The 22,687-nt window shown below is 50.3% G+C and overlaps 1 protein-coding gene across 1 annotated transcript in view, besides 5 other annotated features; it reads left to right on the top strand.

The window, feature by feature from the left end:
* The window catches only part of MICAL3 (microtubule associated monooxygenase, calponin and LIM domain containing 3), a 236,913-nt gene that overhangs the window by 62,754 nt on the left and 151,472 nt on the right, over positions 1–22,687 (top strand). The window lies entirely within an intron of this gene.
* Positions 353–1,069: an enhancer, noted in NCBI's record as "NANOG-H3K27ac-H3K4me1 hESC enhancer chr22:18443505-18444221 (GRCh37/hg19 assembly coordinates)". NCBI's record gives its function as "activates a minimal SCP1, AML or CMV promoter by ChIP-STARR-seq in naive H9 embryonic stem cells {active_cell/tissue: H9 hESC(naive)}" and the evidence as "EXISTENCE:reporter gene assay evidence [ECO:0000049][PMID:30033119]".
* Positions 4,926–5,425: an enhancer, noted in NCBI's record as "H3K4me1 hESC enhancer chr22:18439149-18439648 (GRCh37/hg19 assembly coordinates)". NCBI's record gives its function as "activates a minimal SCP1, AML or CMV promoter by ChIP-STARR-seq in primed H9 embryonic stem cells {active_cell/tissue: H9 hESC(primed)}" and the evidence as "EXISTENCE:reporter gene assay evidence [ECO:0000049][PMID:30033119]".
* Positions 5,426–5,927: an enhancer, noted in NCBI's record as "H3K4me1 hESC enhancer chr22:18438647-18439148 (GRCh37/hg19 assembly coordinates)". NCBI's record gives its function as "activates a minimal SCP1, AML or CMV promoter by ChIP-STARR-seq in primed H9 embryonic stem cells {active_cell/tissue: H9 hESC(primed)}" and the evidence as "EXISTENCE:reporter gene assay evidence [ECO:0000049][PMID:30033119]".
* Positions 8,223–8,829: an enhancer, noted in NCBI's record as "H3K4me1 hESC enhancer chr22:18435745-18436351 (GRCh37/hg19 assembly coordinates)". NCBI's record gives its function as "activates a minimal SCP1, AML or CMV promoter by ChIP-STARR-seq in naive H9 embryonic stem cells {active_cell/tissue: H9 hESC(naive)}" and the evidence as "EXISTENCE:reporter gene assay evidence [ECO:0000049][PMID:30033119]".
* Positions 19,274–20,049: an enhancer, noted in NCBI's record as "H3K27ac-H3K4me1 hESC enhancer chr22:18424525-18425300 (GRCh37/hg19 assembly coordinates)". NCBI's record gives its function as "activates a minimal SCP1, AML or CMV promoter by ChIP-STARR-seq in primed H9 embryonic stem cells {active_cell/tissue: H9 hESC(primed)}" and the evidence as "EXISTENCE:reporter gene assay evidence [ECO:0000049][PMID:30033119]".

Below are 22,687 nucleotides of genomic sequence, written 5' to 3'. Positions count from 1 at the left end.
GGGGTGGGGTGGGCCTGCCTTGGAAGGGGCGCTAACTCTAGAATGGCTAAGGGCAGGCCCAGCCCCAGAGTCGGTTAGGGGTGCAGGCCTTGTTCTCCCACCCACACCCCAAGTCTGGGCCACCTCCTGCCATGTTGGAGATATGATTGCTTCCTGAAGTGGCACCCAGGAGTGTGTGTGGGAAGGGGACTCCAGGAGCTCTGCAAAGCTGTTCTGGACCTGTTCAGGCTTGGCAAGGGGCTCTGGGAGCAGATCCCATGGGTGTGAGACTATGTGCCCCTTCGCTTAGGGAAGGACCATGGGGGTGAGAGGGTGGGGGGAAGGAGGCAGATTTGGAGACTGATGCCCTCCTGGTCAGATCTGAGGGGGAAGGGGCCTCCACTAGGTGTCTGTTGCCCGGGGCTGACGCTCCCCCAGTGAGAATGGCCGCGGGTTATTCAATCCTTTCTGCTGCCTCTAGTAGGACCCAGCGGGAAGGAGATTTATGTTTGTGCTTTTGTTAGCTTCTTTTTCATTATCTCTTCAGTTCTCAGACCAGAAATCTTTGCATTTCTTTCTGGTTCTCACACCTCATGTTTTAGCCATTAGCAGGTCCTGTGAGCCCTGCCTTCATGTTTGGCTTCTCATTACAACCTACACTGACTCCTAGGCCAGGCCACCGCCAGCCATCCTCTGGATTTTTGCAGGCACTTCCAGATTGGCTTCCCTATGCCCACCCTGGTGTCCCTAGGTGTGCTGGCAGCTGGCAACCAGGAGCCCCTGGTAACACACGGTAGCGATGTCATTCTTCCCTGCTCAGACTCCTGCAGTGGTTCCCCTCGCACCCCAGTCAATGCCAAAGCTGCCAGGTGGCCTACCAGGTCCCGCACCGTCTCGTTGCCCTGCTCACCTCATGACCCAGCACCTCCTGCTGAGCTCGTGCTCTTTCCATGCCTGGAGGACTCCCAGTGACCCCGTGCTGGCTCCTTCGGTCCTTGCTCTGCTCCTGCTCGCCTCAGAATCTCCCTGGCACAGCTTAGTGCTTCCTCTCCTCCTTCCCCACTTTGCGGGCCCCCCTGGGTCAAATCTGACCCCGGGGCGGGTGTCTGTTTCCAAATCTGCCTCCTTCCCCCCACCCTCTCACCCCCATGGTCCTTCCCTAAGCGGACGGGGACACAGTCTCACACCCACAGGATCTGTTCCCGGAGCCCCTTGCCAATCCTGAACAGGTCCAGTTCCAGAACAGTTCGCAGAGCTCCTGGAGTCTCCTTCCCACACACACTCCTGGGCGGGGTGTTCCAGGGTGCATGTTTCCTTCCCATATGCTGGGTTCGCATGTGTGGTACCTGTCCCCTCACTAGAACGAAGCTCCATGAGGACAGGAATTTTTGTTTTGTTCACTCTTCTGCCTTCAGTGCCTGGCACATAGAGTGAACAGTAAATATTTGCTGACTTCATTTATTCTGCATCCATTATGTCCTAGGACCAGGCTTCAGGACACATGCACACGCATGTACACAGAGGCCTACATACACACAGGGGAAGAGGACATGAATCGCTGACCCCCAGTGAGCTCACTGCCTAGCACGGAGCCCGTAGCAACAGTGTAGTGAGAACAGCACCCATGAAGAGATGCGGAAGCTACTGTAGGAATGGGAGTGAGCTAGCCATGCTGGGGCAGGGAGCCACAGCCGCGCTCAGCCTGGAGGGAAGATGCCTTCCGGGAACTGTGGTGCTGCTTTCTGTGCACACCTTCTCTTCCTGTGTCCCCATGAGGCTGAGAGAGAAGCCTCCTTTTGCTCATCAGTTTATCCACAGACGTTAAGTGCTCTTTGCTTACAGAGTGCACTCCTAGGCATTGGGATGCCATTGAGTCTTGAAGGTAGGGAAGGTATCATGAGCTTTTCGTCCATGTCAAATGAGTTCAGTTCCTTCAGCCTTGCCTTATAAGGTCTGTCTTCCATCCAGTTAATTTTTTTTTTCTGTACCCTTTCCATGTTTTTCCCCCCTTTATTTGCCTTTATTTTTCTGTCCCAGAAGGATTCTGTTCTTATGGGCAGGGAGAGCTATCTATTTCCCTAACCTACTTAATTCTTTACTAACAAAAACAGTCCTGACCCACTCAACCCCACCATTTTCCACACGTAGGCAGTCATCTTTGTAAACCTCCACTGGTGCTGGCTGCGTTTAGAACATACTCCATATAAAACAGGCCCTGAGGTGTGGTGGCTCATGCCTGTAATCCCAGCACTTTGGGAGGCTAAGGCAGGCAGATCACCTGAGGTCAGGAGTTTGAGACCAGCCTGGCCAACATGGTGAAACCGTGTCTCTACTAAAAATACAAAAATTAGCCGGGCCTGGTGGCAGGTGCCTGTAATCCCAGCTACTCGGGAGGCTGAGGCAGGAGAATCGCTTGAACCTGTGGGTCAGAGGTTGCAGTGAACCAAGATTGCGCCACTGCACTCCAGCCTGGGTGACAGAGCGAGACTCTGTTTCAAAAAAACCCAGGCCGATGGCTGGGCACGGTGGCTCACACCTGTAATCCCAGCACTTTGGGAGCCTGAGGTGGGTGGATCACAAGGTCAGGAGATCGAGACCATCCTGGCTAACACAGTGAAACCCCATCTCTACTAAAAATGCAAAAAATTAGCCGGGCGTGGTGGTGGGCGCCTGCAGTCTCAGCTACTCGGGAGGCTGAGGCAGGAGAATGGCGTGAACCCGGGAGGCGGAGCTTGTAGTGAGCCGAGATTGCGCCACTGCACTTCAGCCTGGGCAACAGAGCGAGACTCCATCTCAAAAAAAAAAAAAAAAAAAAAAACCCCAGGCCCGGCGCAGTGGCTTATGCCTGTAATCCCAGCACTTTGCGAGGCCGAGGCGAGCAGATCACCTGAGGTCAGGACTTCAAGACCAGCTTGGCCAACATGATGAAACCCTGTCTTTACTAAAAATACAAAAAAATTAGCTGGGTGTGGTGGCGGACGCCTCTAATCTCAGCTACTCAGGAGGCTGAGGCAGGTGAATCACCTGAACCCGGGAGGTGGAGGTTGCAGTGAGCTGAGATCACGCCATTGCACTCTGGCCTGGGCAACAAGAGCGAAACTCTGTCTCAAAAGAAAAAAAAAATAAAAAAACCCAACAACTCAAAAACAACAGGCCCTGAGACCAGGCTGCCCTGCTTCAGCCCACTTCTTGTGGTCAGTTCTGGCCCTGCTGGCTACTGTGTGTTGGTGCTATGGTCCACTCCATGGGCGGATGATTCAGCTTGCCCTGTCGAGGGCTCCCTCTGGTTTTTGGGGTAGGGGAGCCAGTTTTCTAGCTTTAACGGGGGATGAGGGTGAGGATGGGGTGCAGCTGAGGCCCAAGGCCGATGCAGGAGACACCTTAGCAGGAAGGCAGAGCTGAGCTGTGACCCCACTGTCTTTTCTTTCTTCCGTAACTGCCTCTGGCCATCTGCCATCATCATCAGTGTGTGGAGTGCGTTCAACTCAGTCTCTCTGACGGTTTTTAGGGAACAGAACACAAATAACAACGTGGCCTGAGGACCCAAAGTGGCCCTAGCAAGGGTGAGTATTGGCCAATGAGGTAATGGACAGAGGAATTGGAGATTTGTTGAGTTCTGTATAGGGAGGATTTTTCTGCAGGAGGTAGTAGAAGATAAGCTATCCAAAAAGTGTCATAGGTTAATTGTAATGGGGTCCACGTTATTTTAATTGTTGAGAAAAATCTACAGGTTTATATCATCTGGGGTCCACTAAAGAGATCGTGTTATGCCAACTCATTGGGTCAGTTTTTCCTAAGATTTCAGTTATGGGTAATGTGGAATTTTTAGGTTTTTTGGGATGAATCTTCCTTGGTCTAACTCCACGAGGAAAGCTCTGCTCTTTTCTCAGTAGCAGGGCTTGCCGCTTAAGAAACTCCAGCCACCACAGCTGTCTTCCATATGCAGGCACCATTTGACAGGCTGCCGTGGTGGGATCTCTCCAGGCTCCCTGTGACTGTACCATTTCATCTTCTTCAGAGCTTCTCTTAGTAAAGAAAGAAAGTTTCTTTCTTTCGTTCTTTCATTCTCTCTCTCTCTCTCTCTCGTTTTCTTTCTCTCTCTTTTTTTTTTTTTTTTTTTGACATAGTTTCACTCTTGTCGCCCAGGTTGGAGTGCAGTGGCTTGATCTCAGCTCACTGCAACCTCTGCTTCCTGGTTCAAGCGATTCTCCTGCCTCAGCCTCCTGAGTAGCTGGGATTACAGGCGCACGCGACCATGCCCAGCTAATGTTTTGTATTTTTAGTAGAGATGGGATTTTGCCATGTTGCCCAGACTGGTCTAGAATTCCTGGCCTCAAGTGATCCTCCCTCCCAAAGTGCTGGGATTATAGGCGTGAGCCATCGAGCCCAGGCTCTCAGTAAAGAAGGCTTTCTATTCACATTTTTGTATCAGATGAGATTAGTTTCAGTCGGAAATTGCAAAATGTGGCTTAGCATGAAAGAAGATTTTCTTTTTATGTAAAAGGACCCTAGAGATGGGAAGCCCAGAGCCAGTGTAGCCAGCTGCATGGCCATCAGGATTTTGTCTCGTTCCTTCTACCTGGACTTGCCAGCTAAAGCCTGGTGATTGTGTGGCCCACTCTATGGATTGACAGGTGAGAGTTCAATTTGACCTAACTCCACTACCCTGGCACGTAGCTTTCTCATCCTTAAGGTTACCTCATAACAAAGCATGGCTGCCGGAGCTCCAGCCATCTTTCTTTTCTTTCTGGGTAGAACACCAAAGGGAGGAAATGTAAAGAAAGGCAAAATGTTTTTCTATGTGAGAGACTCCTTTAAAGGAGTCTTTCAGGAAGACCCACACACTTCTGCTTATATCTCATTAACCAGAACCTGGAAAACATGGTCACAGCTAGCTTCAAGGAAGTTTGAGAAATGCGGTTTTGTAAGTGAGTGCATCACTGGCTCTAGTAAGATTGGGGTACTGTTACTAAGAAGGAAATCTTTCTCCAGTTGGTGTCTGACTTCGTCTCTGTAGTGTCTCTCACGTGAGCACCTTCTGCTTCATGTGAGTCCACTTCTTCCTGCCCTGTATGCACGTAAGCAGTCCTCCCTCCAGACACAGGCTGGCTGTCCTCGCAGCTCTCCTTTGCTCTTCTTTTCTCGGAGCTAAGTCGTAGTCGCAGTGCAGGAGTCGGCTGTGCCCAGGCTGGAGTGCAATGGCGTGATCTTGGCTCACGGCAACCTCTGCCTCCCAGGTTCAAGCAATTCTCCTGCCTCAGCCTCCCAAGTAGCTGGGACTACAGGCATGCACCACCACACCTGGCTAATTTTGTATTTTTAGTAGAGACGGGGTTTCTCCATGTTTGTCAGGCTGATCTCGAACTCCTGACCTCAGGAGGCCCGCCTCGGCCTCCCAAAGTGCGGGGATTATAGCCGTGAGCCACCATGCCCGGCCGGTAGTGCATGGATTTCTGTAGGTACCATAGCAGTGTCAGTGCAAAGCTTGGCATACCTGGGAGGTTGCTGCCTCTGTGTTTCTGGGCTCTTCTCCCCATCCCCTTTCTGCAACTGTCTGTTTGGAAGTTGTGATCTTGACATGTGGCCCTTCTAGCCCCATGGCTTAGCACTGTGGGGCCCCGGAGGAGTGGGCTCTGGATGAGCATGCAGCACCCTTGAACATGTTGGATTCAGCCAGTGTGGATGTCGGCATGAGACGCTGACACAGGCATGTGTGTGCCCTCTGCAGCTCCCTTCTGCAGCTGCCTCTCCTATAAGACCAGGAATTTCAGAGGACACTCTCTCAGGAGCCCCTCTTCCTGGACATTTTCTTCCCTTGTGCTCATAAACATTCATAAACACCGTTTAATGGTCGAAGATTTTGGTTTATGACTAAAAATCTGAAATTCCTAAAATCTCTGTGGATTCAAGTCCTTAGGAAAGCTGGAGCAAACATGCAGCTGAGTGGGGAGTCGGAGATCTCTCAGATCTTTTCCCGGTCCAATCCTCAGCAGTTCTGTGATGCTGGCTGGGGCTTCTCAGGCATGAGATCTATTTCCACCTCCCACTCTAGGCTGGAAGTTGTCCAGGAAATTGTCACTGACATATTGAGGTGCATAGCAAATGCAGCTGGTAGAAGAAATGTGGGGTTCATCTTAGAAAATGCTGCTCCAAGGATCGGCTTGAGAAAGTGTTAATTTGTAAGAATTAAATGAGGATATTATGGGATGTTGGAAGGTGGGAATAAGTGTGTGAGTGAGTGTAGGCATCTCTTGGCTTTTCAGTGGTTCTCAGCCAGGGCTCTCTCTGGATGCAGTCTGCTTCCCCTGCCACACACAGCTTCCTCCAAGGCCTTGGCTAAGTACGGCCCATTCCTCAGCCTACTGATAGCTACATCCCCTCCTGAGGGGGAGGACATGAGGAAGGTTCCCTGTGGAGAGTGGGATGGAGGAGCATGGATTTTACTGGAACAGATGGGTAAGAGCGGGTGTTGGGGCAGGGCAGACACACACCTGTTGTGGAGGGTTAGGATGGAACAGGCTGCAGTGTCTCTCCTGGACAGATCCTTGCATTCTTTATGGTGCCTGCTTTCCTCTTCTACCCTAAACCAGGGAGATTTTGAAGGAGTGAAGCAGGAGAAAGGAGGTGATCACAGTGAATAGCCACCATTTACTGAGAGCTTGCTGTGTGCTGGACATTCTCAGTGGCTAAATGCATTGTCATTTAATCCTTAACAAGAATCCTGCTATATGGGTATTAAGTATCAGAGAGGCTGAATAACTTGATTAAAGTCACACAGCTAGTAAGTAGTTAAAAAAAGACTTGAAGCTGGGTGCAGTGGCTCACGCCTGTAATCCCAGCATTTTGCGAGGCCGAGGTGGGAGGATCACTTGAGGTCAGGAGTTTGAGACCAGCCTAGCCAACATGGTGAAACAGCGTCTCTACTAAAAATACAAAAATTAGCTGGGCGTGGTGGTGTCCGCCTGTAATCCCAGAAATTGCTTGAACCCGGGAGGGCGAGGTTGCTGTGAGCTGAGATCGCACCACTACACTCCAGCCTGGGCGACAGAGCGAGATTCCGTCTCAAAAAAAAAAAAAAGGAAAAGACTTGAATCCAGTTTGTTTGACTCACTTGCCTCTGCCCTTAACCACACTGAGATTCTGCTGCTCTGTTTGTTCATCAAGTGTTGGAGTGTCCATGGTGTTCCAGGCATGGTTTAACGTTTGCCTGGCTAAACATTAGCCAGCCTTTTGAATCTTTTGCTAGGCCCATCTATGTACTTCCTTGGAAAATCCAGTTTTAGCAAAGAACATTGCTGAGTTGGTTTAGCCAGAAACCCTCATTTTCTATATCTGATCCATTCCCTACCCTCCCCATGCCCCAGGTGATGTCTGATCACCCTGGCCCGTCTTCAGCAAGAATCCTGTTAGGTTGGCTGAGCCAGAATCTCCTTCCCCCTGATGTTCCTCTTGGTGATTTTTCATGCACTGACCCCACCTGCTCCTTGGCTCTGAATTCCCACTTGTCCATGCAGTGTTAGGAGTTGAACCTGATCTCTGTCCCCCACTACAGGTCCCCAATGCGATGGTCCCTGCACCTATCATAGTGGTGCTTCCTTACTGTATTCTCGTAAGTAGCACCAAATAATTTTTTCTTTAACAGGTTCTAGGCGCTAAGGATGATAACAGTAAGCCAGACAATAAAAGTTTCTATACTCGTGGAACCTCTATTCTAGCAGGGGGAGTTTCCCACCTTCTTTCATAGTTTCCCGTATTACATCTCTCTCACCTCATATATTTCATATAAATGTCACACTGCTTCCCCAGAATGCCGTTTCTTTTCTTGAAATAAACTCTTCCTTTTCTTTTTCTTTTTCTTTTCTTTTTTTTTTTTTTTTTTTTTTTTTTTTTTTTTTTTTGAGATGGAGTCTTACTCTGTCACCTGGGCTGGAATGCAGTGGTGTGATCTCGGCTCACTGCAACCTCCCCCTCCTAGGTCCAGGCAGTTCTCCTGCCTCAGCCTCTCAAATAGCTAGGATTACAGGTACGCACCACTGCGTTCAGCTAATTTTTGTATTTTTAGTAAAGACGGGGTTTCACCTTGTTGGTCAGGCTGGTCTCAAACTCCTGACCTCAGGTGATCTGCCCACCTAGGCCTCCCAAAATGCTGGGATTACAGGCGTGAGCCACCACACCCGGCCAGTCTTCCTTTTCTCAAACACTAGAGCAAGGAGTTTCTTGTCTGTTGGACCTTGGGGTATTGATGTCCCCCGCCCTGATGTCCCCTATAGCCCCCATGTCCCAGAGAGATCATGTCCAGACAGCAGGACAGCCAAGGTAGAGTACCTTCTAGGGGGCTTGGACATTCCCCCAGGCCTTAACATGACCTTTCTGTACAGATCGTGTCCCATCTTCCCAGGGAAGGGTTCTCCTGGCTCACATCAAATTGCATTGCCCACCCCCACTGCCCGGAAGTTGTTTCAGAGGTGGGAAGGAGTAAAGGGCGTGCGATCATCCATTAGCTGGGAGCTGACCTTAGGACTGGTTTCAGAGAGGTTCTTGTGTTCAATTTATTTTAGTGGGGTAATTTATTATTTTTCCTATGGAGTCTGGTTCAGGCCCTACAGGTAAAGAAAGCTTGGCTGAATGTTACTGTCTGCTTTCAGATCAGATTCAGGGACCTAGAGAGAGATGCCTCACTCTGATCGAGGAAAGATATGGGAGTGCTTCCCGCTGCAAACTGCGTGTGCAGGGCTGGAGTGGCTGTGCACACCTTATGCTCCTGAGCCCTGCTGGGCAGAGGATTTTGGTTGAAGTTGCCGTCACTTTCCCGATGTCAGGGATGGGAGGCAGAGTTGCTGTTGTGGTCGTCTCCAGCCTTTGTTGGATAGCTGCTCCGAGTCAGGCGCGGTAAAAGGCATTTTACATATGTTACAACCGTGCTCTGAGGTGGGTGTTGTCTTCTTTTGCCCGAAAAGGAAACAGAGAGGTTAAGAACTCCCCCAGAGCCACATGGACAGAGCTGGGATCGAACCGAGGCTCCAAGTCCCAGTGTTCTTTCCAGTACCTCATGCATAGACCAGCCTTTTCCTCATCAGGCAGATCCTGCAGAACTGGCACCTGGGTTGCACTCAGTGGCCTCTCTGACGCCCCGCCTGTGTGGACCTCTCCACCCCCTGCCTTGGCAGCAGGCCTTGGGAGCTCAGATGGCTTATGATTAGCTGCTTGGTATTTTATAGCGCGTGATTGGCTGCTTGGTGTTTGTTTTATAGCTTTTGGTTGGCTGCTTTGTGTTTTATAGTGTGTGATTGGCTGCTTCCTGAGCCTCTTCTCTCTTTCTGTTTCCACTTCTCCCCACATGGTGGACCCAGGTTGACTTAGTTCGGCCTCCTCAACTCCAGGCCTGTAGCGAGGGTGAGGCTGGGAGAGCAGGGTGGGGTGGAGCCAGGCTACTGAGATGCCACACACAGGCCCGTGGGCTGGATGCTGCGGATTTCCTTGGAGGTTTCTCAAGGAAATGAAAACACAAGGTTGTGTTGGAGGGGTCTGGCGAGGAGAGTGGGGTGATGGGGAGGTTGGGGGCACCTGCCCCTACTTAGAACAGTGCTTACTTGTTCTAGGTGTTAGGGATAGGCTGCTAACAAAGGGTTGAATCACTTAGTCCAGTCCTGTCTTTGTACAGAAAAGGAAACCAAATCCTTTCCCAGGATGGGTGGTCCAGTAAGCATGGAGCCAGTGCTGCAGTCCCGTTCCCATCCTTGCAGTTCATTCCACCCTGGGTGTTCATGCATCACATAGCAGCCCTTGAGTTCTAAGTGATTTGGCTCTTGTGGGGCACTTTTAAGAAATTTTACGCCCGGCACAGTCGCTCACGCCTGTAATCCCAGCACTTTGGGAGGCCGAGGCGGGCGGATCACTTGAGGCCAGGAGTTCGAGACCAGCCTGGCCAACATGGGGAAACCCTGTCTCTACTGAAAATACAAAAATTAACCGGGTGTGGTGGCGGGCGCCTGTAATCCCAGCTACTCAGGGGGCCAAGGCAGGAGAATCCCTTGAGCCTGGGAGGCAGAAGTTACAGTGAGCCAAGATCGCGCCACTGCACTCAAGCTTGGATGCCTGAGCGAGACCCTGTCTCAAAAAAAAAAAAAGAAAGAAATTTTAAACACTGGTTTTCTAGAGGCAAGTAGTTAATAGATAATTCTCTAGTTATTCCATAATGGAAGACTGTTTGATTTCATGGCAACCCTGAGCAGTCATTTTATTCCTCAGCAGTCATGGATTTGGTGTTTGACCTGAACAAGGTCATGTTTGTTCTCTGTGCCCTGAGTTTTTCCTTTGGCGAAGCAGGGATAATGAATACTAGATCCGAACAGCAGCAGAGTGTGTCATGCGTCACACAGGGGCTCTTATCTCTCAGACCCTTTATGATACTTGCCAGTGTGTGAAGTACTTTCCATTGCTGAATTTCACCGACAATAGTAAGGTAGATGGAGCTTGGGTCATAGTTTGCATTTTGTAAGCATGAAGATGGACGTGGAGAGGTTGTGTGGCTCACTGAATGACGGACCCCGGGTCCAGATCCCTGTCTCCTGATCCTAATCCAGTGCTCCCGGCTGTACCACCCTGCCTATTCACAGTGGGCACACTGCAGGGTTGCGGGTGACCTTTCCTTACAGTCTGGGCATTCATTTCTGGCTGTGGAGGAACTTGTTGAGTAAGGGCAGTGCCACTTTGAGACAGTGGAGGAAGTGGCCCAGCCAGGAAGCCAGGCCACATCACCAGATGCCCAGTTGGAGAGAGCAGTGCTTTGGCCCTTCTCCCGGAAGACCCGTGGTAGGAGACTGGCCCAGGGTGGGGCTGACAGTGGGATCAGGGTGGGGCTGACAGTGGGATTTCCTTTCCTGTTCTTTATGGGATGGTGGGTATTTAAAAATGTCTCATGAAGCATTCTTTGGCGAGAGGCTGTGGTGTGCCAGAGTTCATGGCTTTAGCCTCTGAGTCTTTCCAAGTAGTGGCGTTGGTGGGTCTGCCCTCCGCAAGACATCTGTCGTGAGTGTGACTCTTCTTCAGATCAGCAACAGCAGTCGTTCCCTCCCCCGAACTCATTCTCAAGCCAGTCAGTAAGACTCTCTTCAAAGGGAGTTGTCCTGTAAGTCCTGGCAACCGAGTGGTGCAGTTTAGGAGTGCTGTTATGTGTTTTAAAATGGACAGCTGGCCGGGCGCAGTGGCTCACGCCTGTAATCCCAGCACTTTGGGAGGTCGAGGCGGGAGGATCACTTGAGGTCAGGAGTTCAAGACCAGCCTGGCAAACATAGTGAAACCCTGTCTCTACGAAAAATAAAATTAGCTGGGTGTGGTGGTGGGCACCTGTAGTCCCAGCTACTTGGGAGGCTGAGGCTGGAGAATTGCTTGAACCCAGGAGGCGGAGGTTGCAGTGAACCAGGATCAATTGCGCTCCAGCCTGGGCAACAAGAGTGAAACTTCGTCTCAAAAAAAAAAAAAAAAAAAAAAACAAAAACAAAACGCCAGATGTGGTGGCAGGCGCCTGTAATCCCAGCTGCTTGAGAGGCCAAGGTACAAGAATCGCCTGAACCTAGGAGGTGGAGGTTGCAGTGAGCCAAGATAGCGCCACTGCATTCCAGCCTGGGTAACAGAGCGAGACTCTTGTCTCCAAAAAAAAAAATAGACAGCTGTACCCTGTGAATGACCTGTGCATTTGTGCTTCTTCCTTGCCTGAGTTTTTCCCTCCTTCTGAAACACTGTTTCCTCTCTTCCTGATGACACACTGCCCACACTTCTCCAGATTCTACTTAGTCCTCTACAGGCTGTTTCTGATCACATCTCTCCCTTTCTAGACCACCCCAGGGAGTCTCTGGAAGCACTTTAGCTCCTGTTGGTCAGCAGCATGGGCTTGGCCCAGGAGCTTGTTAGAAGCACAGCATCTCTGGCCCTACCCAGGCCTGCTGGACCCAGATTCGCATTGTGCCAGGCTCCCCAGTTGCTTTGTGTGCACACAGGGAGTATCTGCCCCTGCATCGTGTGTTGTCCTTATCATGTTTTATTAGGGGTCACTACCTGGCTGTTTCGTCCTCTGCTTTACAGATCCGTCTTTTGTTTGGACCCCTTTGTAGCACCTGACGCATCCTTGGCATTGAGCAGGCACTACGGTATTTGAGATTGACTGACAGTCCCCATTTATTTGAAAACTTGTCGGATCATATAGGGAATTGCAGGAGAGATGTGGCATGCACGCTTATAAAAGTTTATGACAGAGGGCAAGAAAAAGTAAGAGAGGGCATAGTTAATACATTTGAATCCACCAGGTAAGGCACCGTTTGGGGAGGGGCACAGGTGTTGGAAGCAGCCCACCCTTAGCAAAGCAGTTCTCCCTGCTTTGTCGCTCACTGTGTGTGAACTTCCTGAACCTTAATTTAGTTGCCTGATTTCTACAGTGAGGTAACATTATACTCATAATGTTGCTCGGAAGATAAAATGAGATAATGCAGGTGAATCATGTCACAGTGTTTGGCCATGAGTGGTAGCTGGGTGTATGTACTTAGCCAGAGCTAAGTGTTCAGTTACGTTAGTTGGATTCTTGTTAATCTTTGAGAAATCTTGTTATATTTATTTATTTATTTTCGAGATAATTTCTCACTCTGTCACCCAGGCTTGAGTGCAGTGGCACGATCTTGGCTCACTACAACCGCCACCTCCTGGGCTCAAGCCATCCTCCCACCTCAGCCTCCTGAGTAGCTGAGACTACAGGCACATGCCACCATGTATGGCTAATTTTTGTATTTTTAGCAGAGATGGGGTTTCACCATGTTGGGCAGGTTGGTCTCGAACTTCAGACCTCAAGTGATCCATCCGCCTTGGCCTCCCAAAGGGCTGGGATTACAGGCACGACCCACCGTGCTGGCCAATTTTTTTTTTTTTTGAGGCAGCATCTCACTTTGTCACCCAGGCTGGAGTGCAGTGGCACGATCTTGGCTCACTACAACTGCCACCTCCTGGGCTCAAGCTATCCTCCCACCTCAGCCTCCCAAGTAGCTGGGACTACAGGCACATGCCACCATGTGGGCACAGCTCATTTTTGTATTTTTTTGTGAAGACGGGGTCTCACTCACCATGTTGCCCAGGCTGGTATCTGGAACTCCTGGGCTCTGAGATCCACCAGCCTCAGCCTCCCAAAGTACTAGGACTGCAGGTATGAGAAATCTTGTTTTTAAAAGGGACAAAATAGACAACTTTCTGAGACTCATATTCTGTCTTCCCCTGTATTGTTCCTTGATTTCCACGATGAGCCCAAGATTCTGAGGAGCAGGGTCTGTGTCTTGTGGATGCCTGGTGTCAAATGCTCTGCAGCTGGTATGTGAGGACTGGGGAGGGGAGGAGCAGGAGCTGGGCAGGGAGAGCACTGCCACCTTGGCACACCCCGCCTCGGGACACCATCATGGCCCCCCGGTATCCATGCTGCACAAAACAAGCTACCAAGAGGTGGAGTCCACCAAAGTGACCGTTCTGGGAGCTCTTGGGATTCCAGCTGGAGAGCCAGCAAGATTGTGGCGGCACTGTGGAAACATCCTCCCCAGCTCTTGCGCATCCTCCTGCGGGGGCACTTGCAGATTGCTGTGGAGGGAGTAAGGCCACGCCGGAGCAGGGCAGGCAGTGGGAGTGGGGACTTGCCAGACTGCAGTGTGATTTCTTTTCCAGTGGCAGGGATGGGAGGGAGGTGGATGACACAGGCATCTGGTAGATCAGCTCTGGAGCTTTCAAGCTCTCGTGCCTTGCTTTACAGGAGCAGAGGCTTGAGAACCCAGTACCTTAGAGTTGGTATCCTGGATCTGTACTGGCAGTTTTGTGGGTTTTTTTTTTTTAAACTTTTGCTATTAAACACATAATGTCTGTCTGGTAGGAGACACGGTATGTGTGGATGAATTCATAACTGTATTTGAAGCGGTTTGAAGATGAGCATTGTTAAGTTAGGCCAGATACAGTAGCTCATTACCTTTAATCCCAGCACATTGGGAGGCTGAAGTGGGAGAATCACTTGAGCCCAGGAAGTTTCACCTGGGTGACATAGCAAGATGCCATCTCTACAAAAAATTTAAGAAAATATCAGCCGGGTGTGGTGGTGCACACCATCGCCTGTGGTCCCAGCTACTCGGGAGGCTGACGTGGGAGGATCACTTGAGCTCAGAAGTTGGAGGTTAACAGTGAGCTATGATGGCACCACTGCACTCCAGCCTGGACAACAGAGCAAATAAAAATAAGATAAAAATTTGATCTTGAGGGGATTGAGGCATCTTTTCTTTCATACTTTGATTTTACAATGATAGGTTGATGCAAAACCAGAATGAGCAGAATTCACTGTTCAGTTCATGTTGGTAATTCTATCTCAGTGGTGCGCACAGAACACGGTGAAGGTGAGAGAAAGCTGGACTGCAAATTGGAGTTTGGAGCAAGGCAGACACCGAGGTCTTTTCCTCTTTCCTTAAGGGATTTCCTTGTCCCAGTTACCTCTTCATGAAGGGAAAACATTGTCTCATTGGCAGTTTGGCCATGCTGGGGGGCCCACTGTCCTCTGGGTGTGTAGAGGCTGTCTTGGCGGGCACAGTCTTGCTGGCAGGGCCCAGGCTGCAAGATGAACGCGTGCAGCGGCTGTAGGCTGGCCTGGGAGAACGAAGTGGGGAGAGGGGGCCAATCCAGCCATGTGGCCTTGCAGCCCGGCTCTGATCTTAGATGGACAGCAGATATTTGATGTGCTGCGTTTCTCTTCTGAAGTCTCACTCCTCCTTTCTTTGTGATTTAAACAATTTCTTCCCTCCCACTTTTTGTCCAAATTCCTCAGTCCATACTCTTTGAAATCTGAAGTATGGAGAGGCGATAGCAGGGCCCTCCCCACCCATCTTCCGGCTTGGAAGGGGTATCATGTGGTTCAGCTGGGCCCTTTGCTGGAGAGCAGAGGGAGGGGTGTTCCCCAGGGAAGAGGGCAGGAAAGACCAGAGGTTAAAAATAGGCAGCTTGTAGGAACTTGCCCACCACTCCCTCAGGTCCTCCTGTGATGTGCACACTTGGAGTAGAATGGCTTTGGAGCAGAGAAGGGGAAAATAGATCAGCCCTCACTTAAACATCACATTAGCCATTGGCTTTTCCTCTATCTTCCACATAAGAGGAACTTTCCCCAATCACCTGGTGGTTTTGGATTTGTGTCCCCTGGTACTTTGGGGATGTGTCCACATGTGTGTGCAGTGCCTCTGTCTGCATGTGTGTGGCGCTAAGATGACTCAGTGTCGCATGTGCTGAGACATTCCGGGGCTGCAGGTGGGTGTTCTCACAGAGGCTCGCCTGAGGGATCTTTTGCACATACAAAGATGTGTCCCATTTATAAGTTAGTTCCCTACACTAAATGAAAGAACTCTCCGGGGCCGTGTGTGTGCAGTGAATACACATGTGGGTCGTTGTTTCACACAGGCGGTGTCCTGGTTGCAGGCAGAGTGTGAGAATGCAAGCTGTGCTGGCTGCTCTGATATGGTCCACAAGGTATGAGGCAGCTTTTGTTCTCTTTTTGTTCTTTTCGGAAGTAGGGGTGCCTGCCCACCCCCGAAGCCAGGGAAAGTGCAGTCTTCTCTGGCCTCCTGGTCAGGTAGAGCTGCTCCGGTTAAAACTGTCAAGAGCATCCTGTCTCTGTTCCCTGAGACAGCCACAGGGGACTCCCAGGAATACCCAGCCAAGGACTTGAGATGCTGCCTGCTTTGTCATCTGTACCTGCTTGCCACACTCTCCTCCACTTAATACCCTGTTGTTACTAGCGAGGATTTCCGGTCCTGACTTTCAATCTGGATTTTGAATAACTTGATAAGGTGATTGCTTTCGGATCCCTCTGGGCCTGTGTCTGCCCCTCCCTGTAAGCTGAGAGAGCAGCTGGGCCCTTCAGTTTCTATGGCCCTTCCGCCACCGAGTGAACATGCTCCTGTGGGGCTTGGCCTGTGTGACCCACCTCATCCCTTTTGTCTCAGTCTTCCTGCTAAATACAGCCTCTTCTCTCCCTCATCCCTTCTTTCTCTGCTCTCTGGGCAGAAGAGAAGCTTTGGCTGTAGTCTTTGATGTGGGAGGCTAGACTGGAAGGCATTCTGGGTGGGGGAGGGAGGTGCCTGGTGGAATTGGGGCGTATGGGGGCTGTGTGGAGAGGGGCCCGCTGCCTTTACTGAGCCCCTCCCCTCCCTGGGCAGTAGGGCGCGTGTTACCCCTTGCTCTCCACATCTCAGGGAGAAGAACCCAGGTCCTCATGTGAATCCTGCTGTTTTACTTGGGGACACCCGGGAATGTGAATGGGTGAAGGTCTTCCTGGCTGGTGCCTTTGTTTCGGGTTGTTTTTCTTTGAGGTGCCTCTCCTACTCCCACAGGGCCTGTGCAGGGGTGCTCAGAGCCCACAGCGGATGTTGGCAGCGCGTGTGCAGGGAGCTGGCCAAGGACCCTGCTTTCTCTCTGGGCCAGCGCCCAAGGTGCCCTATTAATTTAGATTTTCATGTGCATTAGTGGACGAGGGTGAAGGAGACGCAGGCCCTCGGCTGGCAGTCGTTTTACACCACCACCGGCTAGGCTGAAATGGGGAAAGAAATATGGGGATTGGGGGCTTCCTTATGGAGAAAGGTAAAGGCTGAAATGGTGTGTGAGAGAGGACTTGAGGCTTTTTTCCTGGGGGTCAGGGAGAGTTGGAGTTGACAGCACTCAGCCCTAATAGGTATAGACTGAGTCCAGCCTGAGGTATTAGACCCTATATTTATTGGCTTGATCTTAATTTTACACCTGGTCATACTGTTGAAAAAAAAAAAAAAAAAGGTCCCCCAGTGCCTGAGTGCGAACTTCATATTTAGTGGCATTTGATAGTATATTTATTATTTCTAGTAAGTTTGATGATCTCAGAGGTGTGCAGTGATGTTCCTGGAAGTGAATAGTACAGCGGTCCCCAGGAACTGTGGGGAGAACCCTGCTCCGCCTCAGCCTCTTCTCCCATCTGCTGCCGTGGCCTGCTCCACCCTCAGATAGCTGTTGGAGGACCCAGCAGCCTGTGCTTCTCTTAACATGTCCAGTTGTACCCTATTTTCAGTTAAAAATGCGGTTTCTCCCACCTGCTTTCCCCTGGAGCGGCACGTGAAAGGGTGTAGTGCCCTTCTCTTGACACCTGCCTGTCCCCACAGTCCTATCGTCAGTGGGTGCGTGTGCTCACTGCTGCCTGGCACTGCTGGGTTCTCAGGAGGCCTGCACACCGAAACTTTGCATGGAATGTTGCCCTTGTGCCATTAGCAAAGCGGAGGCTGGGTCGGCTCTGCTCTCCCTGCCTCCGACTTCATTGTTCGGGACTTAATGTAATAATATGCTTGAACAGGCGGGAGATCACATTAGCTTGGCTCTGCAGTTGTAAACAATATTTGCTCTGTGAGCATTCTCCTTCACCCCCTGCTCTCCTGGAACCCTGCGCCCTCTCCTACTGCCACCCCCTCTCTCCTTGCATATTCTAACCTTGGCTAAACAGCTTCATTCATGAGATGGCCAGTGTTTTCTGGGAGGAAAGTGGCTGAAAATAATGAAGTCCCGAGAACCTCTAGCTATGACGCACAAGTAAACACTGGTTAGTTAGTTTCTGGATAGAGGTTTTAACTGATGTCCATGTCAACCAAAGTCTTTTTCTCTCTCTCCACTGGAGTGGAACCCTGTTTGAAAACACACACACACATGCACTCAGGTACCAAAAACAGCTTTCCTAAGGCCCTGACTCTGTCCTTGGCGGGGAGCACTGGGCAGATGGGACAGAGGCTTCCACTGTCAGTGTTGGCAGGGGTGGGAGGTGGAGAGGGGCAGGAGTGCAGGTGCATCCCTGGGGTGCCTGTTTTTTTCCATAGAAAGGTTTTTGTCCTCTGCTTCTCACTCTCTTCTATAGTTTGATGTAGAAAAAGGTAAAAGAAAAACTCCATCTCTCACCTGCACTGCCTTTTCCAATTTAACAATTGCAGTGGTTGGTTTCACAGACAAAACCTGCTCCACCTTCTCTGTGCTGATTGGTGGCTGATGATGTCATGGCATAAAGCTCAAACTGATTGTTTTCTCTATGGGACAGGTCCCAAAACAGCAGACAGCAAAGCTATTATTGCTCTTTTGTTTCCTCCAGTTTACGCTATCAAACAAGATGGGAAAGGTGGGAGCAGAGCCATGGCTGCACATCGCCTGATCTATTCATAAAGCGCAGCCTTGGGCACCTTGAGTAAGGAGGGCTTCTCACATCAGGAAAAAGCCTTTGTTTTTCACGAGAGCAACAATACTTTTTTCACTGGAGATATTTTGCCTGTCTGCTTTAATCTTCTCTGTTAAGAGAAGGATAGATGCAGCTCAGGGTGCGGTGGCTCATGCCTGTAATCCCAGCACTTTGGGAGGCTGAGGTGGGTGGATCACCTGAGGTCAGGAGTTCGAGGCCAGCCTGGCCAACATGGTGAAACCCCGTCTCTACTAAAAATATAACAAATTAGGCAGGCATGATGGCAGTTGCCTGTAATCCCAGCTACTCGGGAGGCGGAGTCAGGAGAATTGCTTGAACCCTGGAGGCAGAGGTTGCAGTGAGCTGAAATCGCGCCATTGCACTCAAGCCCGGGTGACAGAGCGAGACTCCATTTTAAAGAAAAAAAAGAAGGATAGATACAATTTCAAAGAAATTTCTTCTGGCCCAAGAAAGAGTAGGAAGAGGAGTTGATTTCAGGGAAATAAAAAATAATCAGAAGAATGTCACTCGGTTCCTTTGCAGAGCTTGGGAATTCTTCCTGCTGTCAGCATGTGTCCATCATAGAGGTGAACTGTAGTTCTGTAGCAGTGGCTGTGTTGTGTGAGTTCAGCATCGCCTGTGTTCTGAAGGGCCTGAGGGCAGAAGCTACTCAATGAGATCTGCTTTCACCTTGGACCTTGCTGGGTCTGCTGTGCTGTAGAGAGGACGGTCGTGCAGCTGGGAATTCGGCAGAGCAGGCCTGGCCCAAGTCTCTTAGGGCAGCACCCATCAAGCTGGAGCCCTCTGGGACTGCCCTGGTTGAACTGCGGGCCTGGCTCACCTGGTGCTGCCCAGCAGCGTCACGGGCATCTCTAGGTGCTTGTCATCTATAGCTGTTCAGACACTCTGGAAGCCTAGTGTGAGGCCAGGCTCCCTCAGAGGGCTTCCGCAGTGGCCCTACAGCAGTCCCCTACAGGAAGCTCCCTTTTCATCAGGGATCTGCTGGCGACTGTCTTCAGACTCGGTGAGGTCTCTGAGCGTCTGAAAGCCACTCTCCTTAGATTTTACATATGATCATTGCCACTTCATGCCCATGGATCTGCACAGACCTTCACAGCTGTTTCTAGAAAGCTTGGCTGTTAAAGCCACACCACTCCGCTAAGTGGAGGAGGTGAGGCATGTCTGACAGGAGGTGGTACCAGGCAGAGGACTGGATAAGCCTCCCTCCCAACCCACAGAGCTGTTCTTGGTGGGGCTGGGCTCCATTTACCTTCTGGAGCACCCTGGGCTTTGATTTGTTGGGTGAGAGGAAACTCTACAGCTGGCTGGACAGCCACGGTCACTTGGTGCATGGACTGCCTTCGCCCACTTGGCTGTGCTTAATTCTGTGCCTCCCTGCAAGCATACAATCACCGGGCTATCTTTAGCCATGTTGCGGTGTGGCTGCACCTCTGGAGAGACAGAATGTTACAGCTGGTTCACATTTTCCTGAACAAAACAGACACGCTCCGAGATTAGGCAAGTCGTTTCCTTGAGTGCTGTGGCTGGGCGCCTCTCCTTGTTGTTGTCTTAAGGCTAGGGGTCGGAGGAATTTGCCACACAGGTGGTTGACGTGCAGGTAAGGGAGAAGGCCCGCTTGAAGGTGGGTGAACCTCTGCCTGTTCCGCTGCCTGTGCTGCAGCCCCAGGCCTTCCTTCTGCTTTCCCCCTCCTGGGCCCTGGAGGCACTTTAGAATGGGGGTGGGAGGGAGCGATTGACCACGCCTGCCCCAGGCCATCACAGATTCTGATTGGATGGGTCTGGATGGGGCCTGAACATTGGTGTAGTTTTAAAGTTCGTCAGTGATTCTAATGAGCTTTATGTATACCCTGTGAAGGTCAACCAAACAGCTAACCTCACAGTATAGTAAAAATACATTTTTCTTCTTCGCTTCTCAGTTCCTGTATCCCAAGAGTGGCATATGGAAAGCATGTGGCAGTTACTTCTCAAATTGAGAACTGCCTGAATTTTATGAACAATGACAGCTGTTGCTCTGGTGTAGCATTTGAAGCTCAACCTGTTTCTACTTTCCGTCTTTTGACTTCCGTCTTTGCAGGGGACCCCTTGTCTCCTGGGAAGAACCCAGTGGCAGGGTCTCCTGCAAGTCCTCATAATCCATTGGCCTCTCTCCAAGCCCCAGACACTTTTCTTCCAGAGAAGCTGAGAATGGGGATGTGCTCAAGATCACACCTGCCATCATCATTATCCACTGATTGACAGCCATCATCTCCACCCCATAATGACTAGTTTTCAACTTGGCTGACATCGGTGCCGGTGTTGACATAGTTCACTTCTCTAATGATGGAATCTCTTTGGGCAGGGGTCTTTTGAGTCTCTTAGGGCAAATGCAGGCTGAGAAAAATGATGTGGAGCAGTTCTGAGTGAAGACTTGTTATGAGACGAAGAGAGCAGGTGAACGGTGGGGTCCAGCTGGTGTGGATGAAGCACCTGCTGTGTTTGAGACGGAGTGGAAGCAGTACTCTGCTTGGCCCATTCATCCCGTGGCCTAGGCATAACTGAGCATCTCATGCTTTCTTTAGTGGGTTCATCCCGTGGCCTAGGCATAACTGGGTGTCTGGTGCTTTCTTTAGTGGGTAGGTTGGGGAGGAGTGGATGGGCTTATAATTCTACCCAGGGCTCTGATATCACAGGAGTTTACATGGCATTTGGCTTGTTTTGTGTAAATCATCCTACCCTGATTAAATACCTCTTGAGCTATTTGATGCTGGCCTGTCCTGTGAGGTAGGGCTTATAGCCTTTCCTTTGAGAAATTAGTCCACAGATCTGGAAAAGGTTCTTTAACTGCTTGAGTATTCTCTGCCTGATTTTGACTGCCTCTTCTGCCTGGTTTCCCTTTCTGATCCTCTCTCTGGCTGCCATTGCTTTTGTTTTTATGATATATTCTTGGATTTACCCTACCTTTGCCTCTTTCCTTGTAATGAGCTTATTTTTTATTCTTTTACTGTCAAAGTTGTCATATTCTTCCCTGTATTCTGCCACTAGACTATTTCATGGAACTAGTCCTTCACTGTTCCCTTTCATCTTTGGGTTTGGTTTGATAAAGTTGTGATGTATGGGTTTAACAGCCTTCATCAGAATCAGTTTTCTTATTCCTTCTTTTTCCTTCTTCCTCCTCCTCCTTCCTTCCTTCTTCAGACAGAGTCACACTATGTCACCCAGGCTGGAGTGCAATGGTGCGATCATAGCTCACTGCAGCATTGATCCCCTGGGCTCAAGCAATCCTCCCACCTCAGCCCCCTGAGTAGCTGGGGCTACAGGTGCATGCCACCGCACCTGGCAGGATCAGTTCTCTTTATAGGCTGACTCACAAATACTTTTCACCATAAGAAGTCTTATTTTGGAAGTTGTATCCAACTGGCCCTGAAAGGGCAGATAGTAAAATGACAATTGATTGATACATTGAAAATAATCAGATGGTGGCATTTCCTTGCCTCAGCTTTTGTCCTTAACTTCAGAGGGATGAAGTCCAGGGGCCTTCTCTGGTGATCTGAAGGCATGTTCTGGCTGGCCTAGGAGTGGTACAGGACTGCCGGCTGTGGTGCTTTGACTCTAGGGGATTATTAGTATCTTCAGTAAATACAGTATGTACATACTTCTGTGCCTGCGGAAAAGGGCTCAGGTCATTAGTGTGCAGTAGTGTTGCTGGTCCCGATGTCTTTTAAATTGGTTATCCAAGTTTCCATGGTGTCTTGCGTAGAGTAGCTCTTTTTGGCGTTAGGTAGGCAGAAGTGACTGAGACTATTTGCTGTAGAGGAGGGCAGTTGCTCTAATTTAATGTAAAGATAGGAAGATAGGAGCCTGGTTTCCCAGTCACTCTCCAGCTAGGGAGGGCTTTTCATTTCTACATGTGGAAAAAAGTGTTTGTCTAGCTCCTTTGGAAATCATTGATGCCATCTTAACAGAATTGCAGAGAGAGGCAGGTCTGTTCTTCATAAGGTATAGAGGGTTGAGTCAGAGCCCTTCATGTGGCCAAATTCACTATCCAGAATTCAGCCCAGTCTCCCAGGCTTCCCGCCCTGCCTCTGGAGTTTGGCCTCCTAGGGGGATGGCAGGGATACGTGGCTGCTACTTGCCCCTGCAGCACCTTTGTGAGAGGGCAGGAGGTGCAGCCCTTCTTCTTTGTGGCACTGGTCCTCAGCTGGTGTGTGACTTGCTGAGTTGGGTGCCGGCTGAATCTCAGGCCCTGTTCCCTGACCCACTTTGTCTTGGTCTGTTTTCTGTTGCTTGTAACAGAATGCCTGAAACTGAGTGATTTATAAAGAAGTGAAATTTGTTCTTAACAGTTATGGAGGCTGGGAAGTCCAAGGTTGAGGGGCGGTGTCAGGGGAGGGCCTTTTTGCTGGTGGGGACTCTGCAGGCCGTGCAGGGCTGATCACATGGCAAGGGAGCTGAATGTGCCAACTTAAGTCACTTTCT

Source organism: Homo sapiens, chromosome 22, assembly GCF_000001405.40.
Source record: "Homo sapiens chromosome 22, GRCh38.p14 Primary Assembly".
Classification (NCBI taxonomy): domain Eukaryota; kingdom Metazoa; phylum Chordata; class Mammalia; order Primates; family Hominidae; genus Homo; species Homo sapiens.
Note: the sequence above shows the minus strand (reverse complement) of the source record. Positions and strands in the feature narration are given on the sequence as shown.